Source organism: Homo sapiens, chromosome 4, assembly GCF_000001405.40.
Source record: "Homo sapiens chromosome 4, GRCh38.p14 Primary Assembly".
Taxonomy (NCBI): domain Eukaryota; kingdom Metazoa; phylum Chordata; class Mammalia; order Primates; family Hominidae; genus Homo; species Homo sapiens.
The window spans coordinates 68,466,336-68,486,377 of record NC_000004.12 but is presented as its reverse complement, the minus strand read 5'-3'; the positions used below and the strand labels follow the sequence as shown (position 1 = coordinate 68,486,377).

The 20,042-nt window shown below is 36.2% G+C and overlaps 1 protein-coding gene across 3 annotated transcripts in view; it reads right to left on the bottom strand.

The window, feature by feature from the left end:
* Positions 1-20,042, bottom strand: part of TMPRSS11E (transmembrane serine protease 11E) — a 50,142-nt gene that overhangs the window by 11,227 nt on the left and 18,873 nt on the right. For all 3 annotated transcript variants that reach the window (NM_014058.4, XM_011531896.3, XM_047450139.1), the window contains 7 exons: positions 19,626-19,747; positions 17,432-17,499; positions 14,755-14,918; positions 11,617-11,655; positions 9,940-10,117; positions 8,750-9,009; positions 7,387-7,529 (listed from right to left, as the gene is read on the bottom strand). In NM_014058.4, coding sequence (NP_054777.2) covers positions 7,387-7,529; positions 8,750-9,009; positions 9,940-10,117; positions 11,617-11,655; positions 14,755-14,918; positions 17,432-17,499; positions 19,626-19,747 — 974 coding nt within the window. The remainder of the gene's footprint in view (positions 1-7,386; positions 7,530-8,749; positions 9,010-9,939; positions 10,118-11,616; positions 11,656-14,754; positions 14,919-17,431; positions 17,500-19,625; positions 19,748-20,042) is intronic.

The following is a 20,042-nucleotide window of genomic DNA, read 5'->3' as shown; positions in this document are numbered from 1 at the left end:
GAAAGCAAGAAATTCTTTGAAATTAATGAAAATAAAGATACAACATGCCAGAATTTCTGGGACACAGGTAAAGCAGTATTAACAGGAAAGTTTATGGGGCAAAATGCCAACATCGAAAAGATATAAATATCTTAAATTAACAATGTAGCATCACACCTTGAGGAACTAGAAAAACAAGAGTAAGTGAACCCCTAAACTAGCACAAGACAAAAATAACCAAAATTAGAGCTGAACTGAATGAAATAGAGACACAAAAATCCATATAAAAGATCAATGAAACCAAACAACTTGTTCTTTGAAAGAATAAATAAGATTGATACACTGCTAGCAAGACTAACAAAGAAAAAAAAGAAAGAACTTTCAAATAAGCACCATCAGAAATGCCAAAGGGAAGAGAAATATTTTTTACAAAAAATTTCAAAGATGATTGTAAACACCTCTGTGCACACAAACTAGAAAATCTAGAAGGAATGGATAAATTCTTGGAAACACAAACTCCCAATATTGAACCAGGAAGAAATTGAATACCTGAGAAGATAAATAATGAGTTCCAAAATTGAACCAGTAATTTTAAAAAAACAGCCAACAAGGAAGGCCCTGGAACAGAGAGATTCACAGCCAAATTCTACCAGATATATAAAGAAGAGCTGGTACCAATTATATTGAAAATACTCCCAAAATTCTAGAAAAAGAGAAGCCTCCCTAACACATTTTATGAAGGCAGTGTTTTTCTGATACCAAAACCTGGAAGAGACACAACAAAAAGAGAAAACTTCAGGACAATATCCTTGATGAACATTGATGCAAAAATCCTCAACAAAATACTTGCAAACCAAATCCAGCAGCACATCAAAAAGCTTATCCACCACAGTAATGTAGTCTTATTTTCTAGGATGCAAGGCTGGTTCAACATATGAAAATAAATAAATATGGCTGGGCACGGTGGCTCATGCCTGTAATCCCAGCACTTTGGGAGGCCGAGATGTGTGGATCACCTGAGGTCAAGTGTTCAAGACCAGCCTGACCAACATGGCAAAACCCCATCTCTACTAAAAATACAAAAATTAGCCAGGCATGGTGGTTGGCACCTGTAATCCCAGCTACTCAGGAGGCTAAGGCAGGAGAATCACTAGAACCTGGGGGACAGAGGTTGCAGTGAGCTGAGATCGCACCACTGCACTCCAGCCTGGGTGACAAAGCGAGACTCTGTCTCAAAAAGAAAAAAAAGAAAAAAACCTTGAACTAACTAGGCATCAGAGGAACATACTTCAAAATAATAAAAGCCTTCTATGACAACCCCATAACCAACATCATAATGAATGGGCAAAAGCTAGAAGCATTCCCCTGTGAACCAGAAAAGACAAGGATGTGCACTCTCACTACTGTTATTCAACATAGTACTGGAAGTTTTGACCAAAGCAATTAGGCAAGAGAAAGACATAAAAGGCATCCAAATAGAAGAGAGGAAGTCAAACTATCTCTCTTCACAAATGATATGATTCTACACCCAGAAAACTCCACAGTCTCTGCCCAAAGGCTCCTAGAACTGATAAACAACTTCAGTAAAGTTTCTGAATACAAAATCAATGTACTAAAATGAGGAGCACTTCTATACAACATTAACATCTTAGCCGAGAGCCAAATCAAGAGTGCAATCTCATTCACAATTGCCACAAGAAGAATAAAATACATAGACATATGGCTAACTAGGAAGGTGAAGGACCTCTACAATGAGAATTAAAAACACTGCTGAAAGAAATCATAGTTGAAGGCCAGGTACAGTGGCTGATGCCCGTAATCCCAGCACTTTAGGAGGCAGAGGCAGGAGGATTGCTTGAGCTCAGGAGTTCAAGACCAGCATGAGCAACATGGCAAGACTCCATCTCTACCAAAAATCTAAAAAATTAGCCATGTGTGGTGGTGAATGCCTATAGTCCCCGCTACTCAGGAGACTGAAGTGGGAGGATCGCTTGAGCCCAGGAGTTCAAGGCTGCAGTGAACTATAGTTGTGGCACTGCACTCCAGCCTGGTCAACAGGGTAAGACCTTGTCTCAAGAAAAAAAAGAAAGAAACCATAGTTGACACAAACAAATGGTAAAACAGTTTGTGTTCATGAATAGAAAGAATCAGTATTGTTAAAATGGCCATACTGCTCAAAGAAATTTACAGATTAAATGTTATTCCTATAAAACTACCAATGTCATTTTTCACAGAATTAGTAAAAACTGTTGTAATATTTATATGGAACCAAAAAAGAGCCTTAATAGCCAAAGCAATCCTAAACAAAAAAACAAAGCTGGTGGCATCACACTACCAGACTTCAAACTATACCACAAAGCTATAGTAACCAGAAGATCATGGTGCTAGTACAAAAAAAGTAGACACATAGATCAATGGAACCAAATAGAGAAGCCAGAAGTAAAGCTGCATGTCTACAACCATCTCATCTTTGACAAAGCTGACCATAACAAGAAATGGGGAAAGGACTCCCTACTCAATAAATGGTGCTGGGTATAACTGGCTAGCCATATGCAAAAAATTAAAACTGAACCCCTTTCTTTCACCATATACAAAAATCAACTTGAGATGGTTGAAATACTTAAGTGTAAAACCTAAAACTATAAAAACTCTAGAAGAAAACCTAGGAACTACCATTCTGGACATCAGCCTTAGCAAAGCTTTTATAACAAAGACCCTAAAAGCAATTGCAACTAAAACAAAAATTGACAACTGGGATCTAATTAAACTAAAGAGCTTCTGCACAGGAAAATAAACTATTAACAGAGTAAACAGACGACCTACAGAATAGGAAAAAATATTTGCAAACTATGCATCTGACAAAGGTCTAATATCCAGAATCTTTAAGAAATCTTAAACAAATCAACAAGCAAAAAACAAACAACTCCCTTTTAAAATGGGGAAAAAAAACATAGATACAGTTTGAATATTTGTCCCCTCTCAAATCTCATGTTGAAGTTTAATCTCCATTGCTGGAAGTGAGGCTGGTGGGAGTTGTTTGGGTAACGGATCCCTGACAGCATAGTGCTGTCTTTGCGATAGCAAGTGAACTGTCACGATATCTGGTTGTTTAAAAGTGTGTGGCACCTCCTCCCACTCTCTCTCTCTCTCGCTCCTGCTTTCACCACATGATGTTCCTGCTCCCCTTTCACCTCCCACCATGATTATAAGCTTCCTGATGCCTCCCTAGGAGCTAAGTTAATGCCAGCATCAGGCTTACTATAAAGTCTGAAAAGCCATGAGCCAATTAAACATCTTTTCTAATAAATTACCCAGCCTCAGATATTTCTTAATAGCAATGCAAGAACAGCCTAACACAGAAAATTGGTAACTATGAGTGTGGCATTGCTATAAAGATATTGGAAAATGTGAAAGCGACTTGGCAACTGGGTAACAGGTAAAGAATGGAAGAATTTTGAAGGCTCAGAAGACAGATATGATCAAGTCTGAAATTTCTTAGAAACTGGTTAAATGGTTGTGACCAAAATGCTGATAGTTACATCGACAGTGAAATCCAGATTGATGAGGTGGAAGGGAATTGCTTTATCTCAGATGAGACTTTGGACTTCAGACTTTTTTTTTTTCCCCAAGATGAAGTCTTTCTGTGTCACCCAAGCTGGACTGCAGTGGTGCGATCACAGCTCAATGCAGCCTAAACCTCCCACGATCAATCAATCTTCCCACCTCAGCCTCCCAAACAGCTGGAACTATAGGCATATGCCACAAAGCCCAGCTAATTTTTTTTTTTTTTTTTTTTTTTTTTTTTTTTGTGGAGATGCAGTTTTGCCACATTACCCAGGCTGGTCTCAAACTCCTGGGCTCAAGAAATCCACCCACCTTGGCCTTCCAAAATGCTGGGATTATAGGTGTGAGCCACTGCATCTGGCCAACTTTGAATTTTTGAGTTAAAGTCGGAATGAGTTAAGACTTTTGGGGACTGTTAGGAAGGCATAATTATATTTTGCAATGTGAGAAGACATGAGATTTGGGAGAGGCCAGGAGCAGAATGATATAATTTGGATATTTATCCCTGCCCAAATCTCATGTTGCTTTGTCACCCCCAATGCTGAAGGTAGGACCTGGTGGGAGGTGTTCAGGTCATGGGAGCCAATCACTCACGGCTTGGAGTTATCTTTGCAATAGTGAGTGAGCTCTTGTGAGATCGGATTGTTTAAAAGTGTATGGCACCTCTATCCCTCTTGCTCCTGCTTTCACCATGTGATGTACCTGCTCCCTCCCATTTCACACTTCACCTTCTGCCATGATTGTAAGCTTCCTCCCTAGAAACCGAGCAGATGCCAGCACCATGCTGCCCATAAAGCCTGCAGAATCATAAGCCAATTAAACCTTTTCTCTTTATACATTACCTAATATTGGCTTTTTGTTTACTTGGTTTTGTTAGTTTGTTTGTTTGTTTTTGGAGACAGGGTTTTGCTCTGTCACCCAAGCTGGAGTGCAGTGGGTGCAGTGCAGCCTCGACCTCTTGGGTTCAAACAATCCTCCTGCCTCATAATTTCCAAGTAGCTGGGACTACAGGCACACACCACCACATTGGCTAATGTTTGTATTTCTAGCAGAGACAGGATTTCCCCATGTTGCCCAAGCTGGTCTTGAACTTCTGAGCTCTAGTGATCCACCTCCCTTGGCCTCCCAAAGTGCTGAGATTACCTGCATGAGCCACCATTCCCGACCCAGGTATTTTTTTATAGCAGTGTAAGAACAGCCTAATACAGACAGGAACAGACACTTCTCAAATGAAGACACACAAGCAGCCAACAAACATATGGACAAATGCTCAACATCACTAATCAGGGAAATGGGAAATTAAAAACCATAATAAGATACCATCTCAAACCAGTCAGAATGGCTATTACTAAAAAGTCAAAAAAACAACAGATGTTGTTGAGGTTGTGGAGAAAAGGGAATGCTTATACACTGCTCGTGGGAATGTAAATTAGGTCAGCCACTGTGGGAAGCAGCTTGGAGATTTCTCAAAGAAATTAAGACAGAACTACAATTTGACCCAGCAATCCCATTACTGGGTATATTATACACAAAGGAATACAAATTGTTCTGCCATAAAGACACATGTATGCATATGTTCATGGCAGCAATTGTCACAATAGTCATGGAATCAACCTAAAATGTCCATCAACAGTGGACTGGATACAGAAAATGTGGTAAATATACCCCATGGAATGCTATGGAGCCAGAAAGCAAAATGAAACCATGGTTTTTGCAGCAATATGGATGCAGCCACAGGCCATTATACTAAGCAAATGAATGCAGGAACAGAAAACCAAATACCTCATGTTCTCACTTATAAGTGGAAGCTAAACATTGAGTACATATGGACACAAAGAGAGGAACAATACATACTGGGGCTTACTTGAGGGTTGAGGGTGGGAGGAGGATGAGAACCAAAAACTACCTATTGGTTATTATGCTTACTACCTGCATGATGAAATAATTTGTACACCAAACCCCAGCAACACACAATTTACCCATGTAACAATCCTGCAGATGTAACCTCTGAACCTAAAATAAAAGTTGGAAGAAGCAAAGTAATTAATTAAATAAAATAATATAAATTTAAAAGCATGATATAACAACAACAACAAAACAGAATAAATAATAATTAGATGCTCAGCATATATCTGAATATCAGTCATCATACAATGAAATATAAAAGTTTTTACTTGAATGAGAAAAGGCAATCAACAGATACCAACACTGAGATAACACAAATGTTGAAATTATTTGACAAAGATTTTAAAGCAGCCATCATAAATACATCTCAATGAGCAATTACCATCATGTTTAAAACAAAGGAAAAGAAATAGGAAGTGTCAACAAAGAAATAGTAAATATAAAAAGAAGAAACAAAGAAAAACCCTGGAACTAAAAAATATGATAAGCAAAATTCAAAACTCACTGGACGGGCTTAACATAAGAATAGAGAAGACAGAGCAAAGAATCAGTAAACTTGAAGATACATTGAAATTACCCAATCTCAAAAACAGAGAGAAACTAGAGTGCAAAAAAAATAAACAAAAGCTTAGGAAACTCTGGGACTATAATAAAAGAGTAAACATTGCTGTGGTTAGAGTTCCAGAAGGAAAGAAGAAAGAAGGTGGGACTGAAAGAGTATTTTAAGAAATAATGACCAAAAATTTCTCAAACTTGACAAAGGATATAAATCTACATATTCAAAAAGCTGAGCAAACCTCAAACAGGATAAGCCCAAAGAAATCCATGCCAAGATACATAATCAAACTTCTGAAAACTAAAGACAAACTCTTGAACACAGCAAGAAATGACACCTCATCTATTGGAAAAAAATAATTCTAATAGCAGCAAATTCCTTGCAGAAATCACAGAGGCAATGATTTAAATGCTGAAAGAAAAGAACTGTCAGTGCTAAATTATGCTCCAGTAATGAAGAAGAAATAAAGACTGTTAGAGACAAAGAAAATCTAAGAGAATTTTTCACCAGCATACCTATACTAAAAGAGTGGCTAAAAGAAGTTCCTAAAACAGAAATGACTGTTTTTAAAAAAGGAATCAGGAAAGAGGAAAGAAGAAATCCATAGGTAAATAGTCTTTCCTTTTCCTCTTATGTTTTCTAAATTACATTTGACAGTTGAAGCAAAACATTGTCTTCTGTGGTTCTCAAAATATAAAGCAAATATTTAATATTTATATTTATTAATATTTAATGTTTATATTTGTTAATGTTTAATATTAAAGAGGGAAAAGCAAAGGGATTTAAGGGGAAGTAAGTTTTTTATTCTATACTCCACCAAAACTAGTAAAATTTCAATACACATAGACAGTGATGTTATGTATGTATATATAAATAAATATATATTTATATACACATATATATAACTTAAAGGAACCACTAAAATTTTTCTACAACAAAAAGCCAAAAATACCAATAGATGATCCAAAATTAAATTCTGTTTAAAAAGCTACTGTTACTCTATTTATATAACATTCTGAAAATTGAAAAATTATAGAGATGGAGAATAAATTAGTGATTGCCAGATGTTAGGGATAGTAGGAGGAGGGAAAAAGGTAGGTCTTTGTGGTGATAGAATAGTTCTTCATCTTAACTGTAGTGGTGGTTACACAAATCTACAGATGTGACAAAATGCCATAGAATTAGACACATACTTTGTACGACTGTCAGTTTCCCAGATCTTATATTGAACTATAGTTATGTGAGATGTAATCATTGGAGAAAACTGGGTGAGATGTTGTGACTCCTCTGTACTATCTTTGCAACTTCCTGTAGATATATAATTATTTCAAAGAAAAGTAAACAAAAAATTACACAACCTACTAATGGGCAAAACTGTTTACCTGGCATGCATCTGTTTTTCCTTCTAAGGAGCCAGCACATAACATTCTAGGAGTTATGGCGTCATTGTAAGCTTGAGGTTCATTGCAAGTTGTAGCGTCTATGAGAGTCACCTGTGCTTGTCGAAGATGATTTTGACTGTAACCTAAAAGAAAAAAAAGTCTTTGTATTTGTAGACATACATATATTTTATAAACTTGAAGAAAATGTTTCATGATTAGGAATAAGATGGTGATACAGGCCAGGCACGGTGACTAACGCCAGTAATCCCAGCACTTTGAGAGGCCGAGATTGGAGGATCGCTTGAAGCCAGGAGTTCAAGACCAGCTTGGCCAACATGGTGAAATCCTGTCTCTACTAAAAATACAAAAATTAGCCGGGGGTGGTGGCATGCACCTGTAATCCCAGCTATTCAGGAGGCTGATGCAGGTAAATCTCTTGAACCCGGGAGGCAGAGGTTGCAGTGAGCCAAGATCGGGCCACTGAACTCCAGCCTGGGGGACAGAAAGAAGCCCCATCTTAAAAAAAAAAAAAAAAAAAAAGCGGGGGATACCGGGTGCGGTGGCTTACACCTGTAATCCCAGCACTTTCGGAGGCCGAGGAGGGCAGATCACCTGAGGTCAAGAGTTTGAGACCAGCCTGGCCAACATGGTGAAACCCTGTCTCTACTAAAAATGGAAAAATTAGGCGGGCACCTGTAGTCCCAATCACTGGGGAGGCTGAGGCAGGAGAATCGCTTGAACCTGTGAGGCAGAGGTTGCAGTGAGCCAAGATCGCACCATTGCACTTCTGCCTGGAGACTCTGTCTCAACAAGGAGACTCTGTCTCAAAAAAAAAAAAAAAAGATAGTGATACAGAATCTTAGACTACATATGTTTAGAACAATAATATTTGGGAAGATAATTTGTTCCTAACTACTTTGAGCAAAAAGTTGGGTGCCTAGGAAAGAACCACAAGTTATCTAAATAATGTCCACTCCATTGTTAAGATTACAAGGAAATTTCAGTAGGGGAGAATGGTGGCTTTATGATTCTCCAATCTTCAGAATTGGGTATATTATTGATTGCTAATCTCTAAACTGGTTAATTCTCTAAAGAAAGTTCATGGCTAGGAGACATATTTGCTTTTTCAGACATCTTAGCAGTACTATGACTGTAGTATATAGTAGGAGCAATTTACTCGATATTAACTTAGGCAGGAAGGAATTTTTGTGCCTTCCAAGTTATTTACTTCACTTTTAGGGCCTGACTTGGTCCAGGTCATATGACCACACAACTAACATATTTTGGCATAATGGCATTTCATTGCTTAAATGCCATAAAATACCAATTTAACTTTTACTTGAGTTCCTCTTCCGATGCTCACCATCATTTTTCAGTGCTCCAAATCCTGTCACAAACATCACATCACCTGGTTGAAACTCATAGGATGCATCAGGGAGACAAACTCTATGTACTGCATTTGTGTAGGGAACAGGGCTAGAAAGCTCTGCAAGAGAAATATCATAGTCATGTGATGGGTGTTTGTATTTTTCATGGACAATTATTCTCCGGAGACCCCGTTTCATTTTCGAAGGTTTTATTGTTACTCCAAAGGAAGCAGTCCATCTGGCAGGGTTCTTATATCTGGGGAGAAAAAAATGAAGAATAAATTTCTTTTTACCATGCTACCAGTCGAATAATTTATATTAAATAATTTAGTCTACAGGTGTAGATTTTTTTTTCTTTTTATAGTTTTGATGTATAGAACTCTTTCCAATTTGATAATAAGGCTCAGGGTTCTGACCAGGTGAAAAAGCCACCATTTCCTATAATATACATGCCACTCCATATGCCAAGTCATCCACTCCAAATGCTAAGGCTTTTTGATTTTTCTGTATATTAATGACTCCAAGGGACCTATGGAAAGTACCCTGTACAGAATAAGAGAAATTAATATATTCTATGTGTCTCATGTACCCCACCCAGAAATATACACATTTCTCTGAAAACCAAAAAGTCCACACAATAATTTAACAAAGTATTATTATTTTATATACTATAGACATTTTGACAATAGATTGAAGGGTCCTCCATTTCTTGCAATATAATTAGTCAATCTATTCATTTATACAACTTGCTACTTCCAAATTCTTCATATCTTCATTACATAATTCTTCGTATTTAATTCTTTTTCTTACCATGTGAAATTTCCCCCTTAGGATCAAACCTACAACCTATCCAGACTCCATCTCTGATTAAGGTACTCAGCAGAGATAGAGCACTCCTGTTTGACAGCAAATTCAAATCCAAAAATGACTTTAAAATTCCTGCTTTCTTTGAGAAACTATTGTGTGTTTATCAAAAGATTATTTATTTACATATACTTTGACTCCATTTCCATTTCCAGACTTTAAAACCTCTTACTAATGTTTACAAATGATCCAGTCTTTTGTGATATACACACTATTTTTAATTTATGCTAAACTCATATCTCCCAAAATTCATGAGGTATTTTCTTGCCAAAACCCAGTGCACTTTGTTCACTCCCAATCATTCTCAAGCTTCAAGACTTACGTTGTAAAACAGTGAGCAGCACTCACAAGCCATGTGGCATTAATTAAGGTTGCTCCACAGCGATGACTCCCATCCCACTGCAGGCTAGCCTGCCAGGGCCATTCACCCTCTTCTACTTCTGTCCCACCAACGATCCTGAGACTCTGACCTAGAGTTTTACTTCTTCGTGTTCCGCAGCCTGCAAAAGAGAGAGGGGGGGTGCATTGGTGGGTGCATTAATTAGCAGTTGTTTTGCACATCAAATTGTGTTACTATGTCCCATATTTCTTCTACTTTGTGCTCCAAAAGTATCAAATGTTTTCTCATGCTCTTACCTTTCTGTAAACTGTAGTGTTTTATTTAGCTAACTCCTGTTCATTTTGTAAAATCTAAATCAGTTGTTACCTCTCTAGGATGCTTTCTCTAACTCCCCTGTCTCCAATCTGGATTAGTTATTACTTTCTTGGTGCTTCCAAAATAATAATAGTAACAAATACACTCTGTGTGTGTGCTTATGTGTATAACAAACACACTCTGTATGTGTGCTTATGTGTATGTATACATACTGACATTGTTTATGACAGGGTTCCTCAACCTTGGCACCACTAACATATTGAACCATTTAATTCTTTGTTGTAGGGGGCTGCCCTGTGCATCATAAGATCTTGGCCTATATACTGTAGATCCACTATAGATGCCAGTAGCCCTCCCCCTATATTCATGACAAAAATGCCACAGTGGGGCATGATAGCTTGGCCAACAATATTTCCCTTGGTTGAGAAGTGTTGTTTAAGAATGATGTGTTCATGAATTAGTCTCATGCACCTAGTCCCATTAAAGTATAAGGTGCTTCAGGTAGAGATATTATATCTTATCCATTTGGAATGCCTGTTGTCTAACACAGTGCTAGCACATGGTAGGTTCCCAATAAATATTGGTGGTGAGAATATATGCTATTTAGGTAATGAGATTATCTTTTGGTTTTGTGTTTAGTTGATTTTAGAAATTAACCAACTATATGAGCTGGTGAGTAGCACATATTTTTCCACCTTTTAAGAGAAATGTAATGTGCAACAACCCCATAACTATTGAATGTATACTGTAAATCATGGTGGCATACTTGGCTATAGGCGAAGAAAAATGCTAGGCCTAGACTCAGCACTTTTATAATATAGGTGAAGATATTATCTATGTGTCTTCAGTAATTTTATTAAAATATACCCCATAATTTCCTGCACTTTCTGTGACTCTTCCATGACCCGATAATTTCCTGCACTTTCGTATTAATCCGTAGGATTAATAACATCAAGAAGATTTTATCTAGGATATAGTGACAATGAGTTTCTGCCTCTAGCTGAAAAACACAATGTATAGATTTGTTTTATCTTATAGATATCTACAAACAGAACATTGATAAGTAAACATTTCTTGCCTCTTCTTTAACAGCTGTACAACTCAATTCCACTACACATCTGCCACAGGCACCCATACATCCACTCCAAAGTTATCTCAATTTTGCTATCCTTTACTAATAAAATGTATCTCCAAGATATGATAAAGTACCATGAACTGTACACAAATTAATCAAACTTTATGTGTTCTGTCCCTATGATATCAACACAAAGTAAACCTAAATGACCTATAGTGTTAGCTTTTTACCTTCAGGTAATGCTATTTTAATAAATATATTAAACTTACAATGGTTTAGATAGCTGTCTGTTTCTGTCTTGTTGATTTCTGAAACACACAGAAATGGCAAATAGGGTCAGCACATCAGAGTTACACTATGCCTCCGAGTATTTCAAATACTAAAAGGCTGCTTAATTTTATTATAAAACAGTATCTCTAGATTATAAAGAAGGCAACATAGCTTGTCATAGACATAGGATGATCATCACATTGCAGAGAATGTGAACGGTGTGTTAAACTTTAATGTGGGTAAGAGTCACATAGGAAGCATATTTATAATGAAACTCCTGTTCACCTTCCCAGTAACTCTAATTCAGTAGCTTGTAATGACGCCCAAGAATTTGGATTTTATACCAGTAAATAAGATGCAGAGAGTCCACAGCCCCTCCATGGGAAATACTACTCTAAACCATAGTATTAATTCCCCAAATGTAACAATACCTTTATTAACCATTATTTCAGATTGTATCATTGAGCTCATAAGCCTAGTCCCATTTGTATAACACACCTGAGTAGCATCTCCATAAATTTGTACTCACTCACAGTTAAAAACAATGTTACCCTTTTTGAAGTCAAATTTCAAAAGACAGTCTGCCCTCAAATTGTCATTTAGCTCCAGCCAATGACTTCTTAGCTTGCTGACTTCTCACTAGTCAGTCTCAAACCCTATGCAAACACTAACCCAGCTAATAGATACATAAAACTCTAAGCTCAAACTTTCTGACTCAGCAGAGTTCTAATGACCAAAACTATTCTTTGTACATGGAAGGATGGATGCTCTAAATGCAAAAATATTATTAGTGTTAATTTTTTTCTTTAGTATTTAATAGTATGAATGAAGTGGAAATCTATATTCTAGAAGGCCTTCTTTCTGACTTTATTTATTCTGGCTACTTGTGGGGAAAATGGCAAAAATAAGGAAGAATTTACAATTTAGTCTCAGTTAATATTAAAAGGACCACCTCTGATCTCTTTGTTTCAAATAACCTGTTCTCTATCTCAAGCTCTTCCTAGGAAAATGTCAAGCTCTGAGTATTGATAGCACTGACAAGGCTGGCTTCATGTGTGACTTATACATCTGCACTGGGTCTCACACTCACAATGGCCTTGTGCTTGGTACAATGCTCTGCTATTGCTCACTTGACATTCTTAATAATTTTATCTTGTAACTTGTGTTTTGAAAATGAAGTTCAATAGGATAATGGATTATAGTGTTGGCAGACAAGATATGTGCAATAAGTGTGTCCATAGTTTCTTTCCACTCCATTTGCATATATCATTCACAATTCCCTATGAAATCAGAATTCTAGTGGACCCACAATCCACAGGGGTTCAGCAAGACTCAAAGCAAGTACAAGGTAAGTGTGCTATCCCTTCCATTAAGTAAGCAGAGGTGGACTGACATGCCTTGGAGGCCATGTTTTCTGTTTGAACCAAAACTTGCTTAGAACCCATAGAAAAGACAATAGCATTCTAATAAACACAAATGAACAACAGATCCTGCCATATCCTTTCTTGCTTCTGTTACTTCTGTGTATTAGCCAACAACTTTTGCTGAAAACTACAATGTAGAAAGAGAAAGATAGGGAAATCCAGATCTCCTTTTCCTTCTAGTCCTTCCTCACCCCTCAATAAGCTGAAGGTAGAGAGTGTTGGTAGAATTTTCTCATATTAACCAGGAAAATAAAAAGAGTCATTAGCCTTTTGTACTATTTCCATTGAGGCAAAAATGAAAAACATGTATGTATAAGCTACGAAATATAGTTGCATAATTTCCATGATTTGAAATACAAGTTAAATGTACTTATATATGCATTTATATCGACATTGCATGATATAAACAATTAAACTCATATTAGTAATCTACAAATTTAATTTTTTTCTCTTAGAATGACAATAATCAGCAAATGAAAACACCATGGAAAGTCGAGAGCGAGACCAGGGAAGAAAGAAAAGTGTTATATCTTTGTACTTTTAACAGCACTTTTTTCTTGCTTTTTGAAAACAGGTCTAGCATTTTCATTTTGTGCTAAGGCGCATAAATTATGTATCTGTCCCTGACTACTGAAGCCTCCTTCCTAAGCAAGTGGGTTGGCTGGCCATCAATTTAGGCATCTACTTAGATCTATCAGATATTATATTAGCAGTTTGTATTCATTCTCTCTACTTGTCCCCTATTCTGTAGTTTCCAGTGCTGCCATATCCACTACTGTATCCACTAGCCACCTGTGGCCAATGAGCTTTTGCAGTGTGGCTAGTCTAAATTGAAATGTACTATCAGTATAAAATGTACGCTAGATTCCAGAGCCTTACTACAAAAAAAAGTGAAATATTTGATGAATAATTAATTTTTACATTGACTATTTGTTTAAATGATAATACTTTGGACATATTGGGTTGAATATACAAATTATTGAAAATTAATTTTACATGTTTATTTTTATTTTTAATGTAACTTCTAGAAAATGTAACATTATACTTGTGCCCAGATAGTATTTCTATAGACCTTCATTGTTCTGTAACATATGAACCAGCCCTTAGCCAGATCTTAATTTCCACTGAGGATCTCATATTTCTTATTTTCTAAATGTGAGGACCTATCATCACTTGTTTTGTCCCATGTGGCCCTACAAACAATAACAACAAGAACAACAAAAATCTACCTAAATTTTTCATTTATAGTTGTAAATATACCAAAAATAAGTTTATTATAAATGTTTCACTGGTGAAAAGTTTAAGGGAAGAAAGTATAGCAAGGTATATTAATGACATTTGAAAACAAATGTGTAAATGGCATGAACCTTTCCATATACCACACCCTCAGAACACACAATGAAAGCAACAAGAAAAAGAAGAAAATACAAAGCCATTTTCTTCACTTATAATTGGATTCTATAGCCAAACTATAAAGTGTAATATAAAGAAAACTGCTAAGGAGTTAATAAAAAGCTTGCATGGGAGGCCTAAGTTTAGGGTAGTCTTAAAAATTAAAATACTTCATTAGGACAAATTTAGTTCCAAAGAAATATACTGTTGGTGGCAAGACCCCAGAATTAAAGGACATCAAAAAAAATTTTTTAATAAGTGCCAAGATCAAACCTAACATGAAGCTGTTCTATGAAAGAAAAATAAGAGAAATTAACTTACTTTTAATTTTAACTGAGTGAGGATCTACTTTAGGGGGTCCTACAGCATCTTGCAGCTTTTCATGTAAAACAAGTTGAACAATTTTATCTACAGTTTCAGGATCCTCAGTAGAGTGAAATCTACAAATCAACAGCATATGAGCCAACACTCCATGCTTCTGTTGACTGTGGGCCAAAAAAGAAGAAAATGAAAGAAAGAAAAGAAAAGAAGAAAGAAAGGCAGGAAGGGAGGGAGGGAGGGAGGGAAGGAGGAAGTGAAGAAAGGAGGGAGGGAGGAAAGAAAGAAAAGAGAAAAGGAAGGAAGGAGAAGGGAAAGGAAAAAGGAAGTGAAGAGAAGGGAATGGAGGGGAGGAAGGAGAGAGAGGGAGAGAGAGAGAAAGAAAAGAAAAGAGAAAAGAAAAGAAAGAAGGGTAATATCACAATCTGCTTTTTTCTTTATCACTTACATGAAATGCACACATAAAATACATCCATAAATGTTTCCTTCTATATTGCTACTGTTTACTATGTGAAGAACCACAAATTCAGCCTCTCATATAGTGAGTTAGTCTGTTCATGGTCTCCCTTACCATCAAAAGGTCTAGTTAAGTATATGGCTATTAATATAAAAAGACACCTTGTCAAAAACCATTCAAAATTATCAAATACAGTGTGTCTTAAATATGAAATCAACTGTGGTTTTGAATTTCAGGTTTTATTCTTGTGACTCAAGTCTACTTACCTCCCCTAAACAATCTTCAGGCTATCCTAAACAACTCCTAATCCTAAAGATATAAGACCGCTTTACCAAATTGTACTGACTTCATGTGACTGTATTTTCAACACAGAGCATTAATTAGTCTTAATACTATTTGTATGAATTACTACCTTGGAATCATCCTGCCAGCTACTTTACCCACTCCTTTTCATAGTCACTTCTGAATCTAACTCTTCACTATATATTGCATCAACCACTACTCTCATAAACTGGAAGTGGGAATACAAATTAGAGTCTTATTTTTGGATGGCAGTGTTATCTATTATAAGTTTGAATATCTGTCTTCTCTGGCACAGCATTTCCACTTCTAGAAATTAAACATTCAAATGCACTCATACATTTGTGCAAGGACATACCTATAAACATGTTAATTGTAACACTATTTTCAGGACACGAAAATAAGTAACAACCCAAGTATCCTAGTTGACAAAGCCAGTGGATTCTTTTCAATATTTATATTACTCAGTCAGGAATATTTGTCAATGCCGACCACACTCTCTTTGAAACTTCTTATCTTTTGCATCAGTGGTGATTTTGTCATGATTTTTCTATTTTCCTGCTCTTTCCCTATATCTAAGTTTCCTATATTCCTTCCATCACCTTAAATATTGGTCTTCAAGCTTTCTTTGTCATCCTTTTCATTCCCTTTTATTATTCTTTTTCTGAGAAATTTACACCCATGCTTCCAAATTTTTGAGTTGATCATGAGCAAATTTCTATCTTCTGCTCAGTTCCATTTCCCTCTACTGAGTCACCCTCATTTTTCAGGTTCATATGGTCCCTTAGAATGTAAATTCAACATCTCCAAAATTGACTTCATCTTTCCAATAAACTTGCTCTTCTCACTATTGCAGTAACAGAAGACAGAATAATGAGTAGCAGTAGCAAGATTACTGGAATAAAGAGGTGAGCAAATTGGAAAGTTATTGGGAAAATAGAATTAGTGGAACTTAGTTATTCATAAAGTATGAGGGGACCAGGAAAGGAAGGAGTGTTTGATGACTTCCAGGTTTCTCATTTATGTGATTGGATTCTTCCTGAGTTAGGGAATTTTCTGTGGAACTTCCACATGGGGATGTGTATATAGTTATAGAAATCAGAAAAATAGTTCAGACTAGAGATAGAAACTTGTATTTCAATAGCATATGAGACCATGTGGGTGAATGAGGTCCCTTTGAGAAAGTGAAACTTAAAGATAAGAGAAGTAGTTGCAGATCCAAGAAAGGGCAGTATCTCAAACACCAGAGAGTACAGAATTTTTAGAAGACAGTGATCAAAGTAATGCCTTAGAGATATCAGCTAAGTAATAGAATGGCAGGAAACTTTTAAAGTTTTGTCATTGGAATAATATTGGAAATAATTCTTATTCTGTTTTTTAATACAAATAATTTGTATTATGTCAATATCTTATTGAAAATTCTTATAATATTTTCCTTAACATTATGTACTAAACCCATTTATCAATGGTTAGTTGACAGATGAGATTTTCTCAGCTACATATTTTGAGAATGGAGGGATGGAATAGAAGAAGATAAAGAAGATTGATTAATAGGAGGAAGAAGAGCTAAAGACAAACCTGATCTACTATATTGTCTTACATGGGGCACTACTTGCCATTAAACCAAGGATGTGTGTTAGGTCTATCTGTATTTAGTACTATCTGTACTTGGTAAGTTTCCCAGAAAACAATTTTATAACATAGGCACCAATTATACCTCTGTCCCCAGCAACCATCTTGCAAATGCTTACTTTGGGATTTAAGGAATGAATAAGGGACTTTGTAACCCATGACTTACACAGGACAAGTGTCAAATGTTTGTTGGATTGAATTATATCTTTAACACTTGAAAACATATTTATTGCTGAGCAGATTAACAGCTTCAACTTTAAATTCAGAAGTCAGCAATTCAGATTTACATACCTGAACTTGATAACCTGAGACTTGACAAATTCTTCCCTTAATGGAGATTTATAAAATGCATTTTTCACCTGTTTGTAAAAATATTCAAAATATATCAGCAAGAACAACTTTCTGAAATTCCACAAATTAATTCAAAGCTTTTTAGAAAATTAAAAAACAAAACAGAGCAAAAAACATTGACATTTCACAGTGAGTGGAACTGAGGAAGCTTGAGGAATCTATTGTGGTTTTCTCAGTGATTTCAACTGAACGCTGTCTTAGGAATGATAGGAGTAGGGAACCGCAGTGGGGCCAGAAGTGATATCTGCTGTACTAATGCTCAGAAAGAGACCAAAGAAAATGAACATGCTGTTTCTTCAAAATTAAGAGTGAGAAATTTTACTCTGAAGTAAGGACTTTTACTGCCCATAGACAAAGGAAATGAAATAATTCTGCCACATAATACTTGGATTATAGAAATGAGTGCATGACCATGTCAAATGCTTCCCAAACCTAGTGACAAAGTTGTCAGTTTTCCTGGCATAATGTACACGAAGTTCAGCACTCCAAGTGCTCTTAAAAAGGCCCAGGTGAACTGGGATACTTAGCCTAACACACCTATGAGTTTTACTCTACTAAAGTGAAAGAGTCTATTTTTGTAGAGACGTTAGTTATTATTCTAAATAAGAATTCTAGGCAACTTAATTTTTTAATTAGGAGTTTATGTAAGGAAACACTCAAAGGTGTCTTGTTTCCAGTATGTGGATATTTAGTAAACACTTACTACATGCTGGTGATTAACAGAAGCAATGAGCCTTTTAATTCTTTCTTACATTTTATTAATTCCGAATTTTTTTACTAAGGACACTTCTTGCAATTATGAGACAAAGCTGAATAGCAGAAGTCCTCTGAATAGGATGGCAGTATTCACAAGAAAATTTTTATTTAAGGGTTAATTTTTGTCAAGTAACTTCAAAACTATTATTAATTTTGAAGGCATTAAAGAGCCTTATGTATATTCCTTTAGATTTAAATCTGTCTGGATTTTATTTACTTAAATAAAATTTATTTGAATGAATGGCACAAAGAACAAGGGAAATAGTGGCATCTCTTCTTGACCTTTTTAATTCAATTTCATTTCCTTCATTTTGCATATGTATTTAGCCTTAGAGAAGAGCCTGGTCAAATATTTCCCTGATTTGGTGTTTGCAAGTGCAAATGTAACCAGGATTCAACCACTGTCTCAGCAAGGTGGCCAAATCCCCAGGCTTCTGTCTACTGGGCGGTTTCCAGGGTCTCACTTCCATTCTTATTCAGGTTATTGGAACTGGAAGACAATTTGGAAATTATCTAACCTAATACCTTAATTTTCAATTTACAGAACTTTGTGCAGAATGATAAACTAATATTCCAAGTGATGTATCATTACCTAGTAGATACCATTGGAGATACATGTGCCTCCCAGCTCCCAGTTCAGTGTTCTTTCCATCACATTATATCATGAATTACCTCACAGGTTTCCAGGAAAAGTTAAATTATTCTTTAATTAATCTGATAATGACAAGAAGTTACCACTTAGGCCCTTGTTCTTTTGGCCCATGCTGCTAATTTTTCCAGTTTCTTAAGTATTTAATTGATCCCTCAAGATGAATGTTGATGCGTTAAGGGTAGAGTTGCTTATCTGTGGATTTACATACCAAAAGCTAGTTGAAGGTTAAATATTTTTAAAAACTGGGTAGAGTTGCATATCTGTGGATTTACTACAGATTTATATACCAAAAGCTGGTTGAAGGTTAGATATTTTTAAAACCTAACAGACTATTTAGGTATGTGCCTAAATAGTTTCAATCTTGGCAATCTTCTGCTCGGGGTCTCTTTTTTAGGAAGTCTAGGATACAACAAATATATTTTAAGCCACACTCACATTTCCAGAATCTCTGGACTCTACTGATCAAGAGTATATCACTAGCTAAGGAAAGGTGAGTAAGAAGGACCTGACCGAATGGCTAAAGTTTCTTTGGTTCAACCCTGTGAGTCATATTGTGCTAAGTGATGTATTGTCCATTTTGTTTTATATTCCTTGGGTTAGGGCCTCTTTTCATTTTGCAAATACACAGGGATCCGTTAGTTGAATGGATCTTTTAGAAGCTAGGATGCTAAAAATATGGTAAAAAGTGAAAGCAAATGCACTAGAAGTAGATGACAAGTTGCTTACCATTGATTCAAGTCTCTGGCTCATTTCTGTAAAATTGTTAGAAGCCTCTCTGCCAAACTCAGCATATAGTTTGTCAGTTGTAAATGACAATGTGCTATAGTAATTGTAGGTCTTCTTTTGATCTACAAGGAAAGAAGCAAAACACTATCATAATTTTTATCAGATGTGTGTAAAGCATCATTATATCCCCGCTTGGTGGTTGCTGGAAGACTGAAACAGGAAGGAATGCTCTTAGCACAGGTCATCATCATCATCCTGCCCCAGGCCTCATAGTTATCTCAGGATAAAAAACAACAACATTTATCATCATGTGATTTAGAGAATAAAAGCTGTAAGAAATGCCTGGTGTTCCTGGAGTACTGTACAAGTAGCTCATTGGAACAGTGGGCTGATTATTCATGTGTTACTCATTCCTAA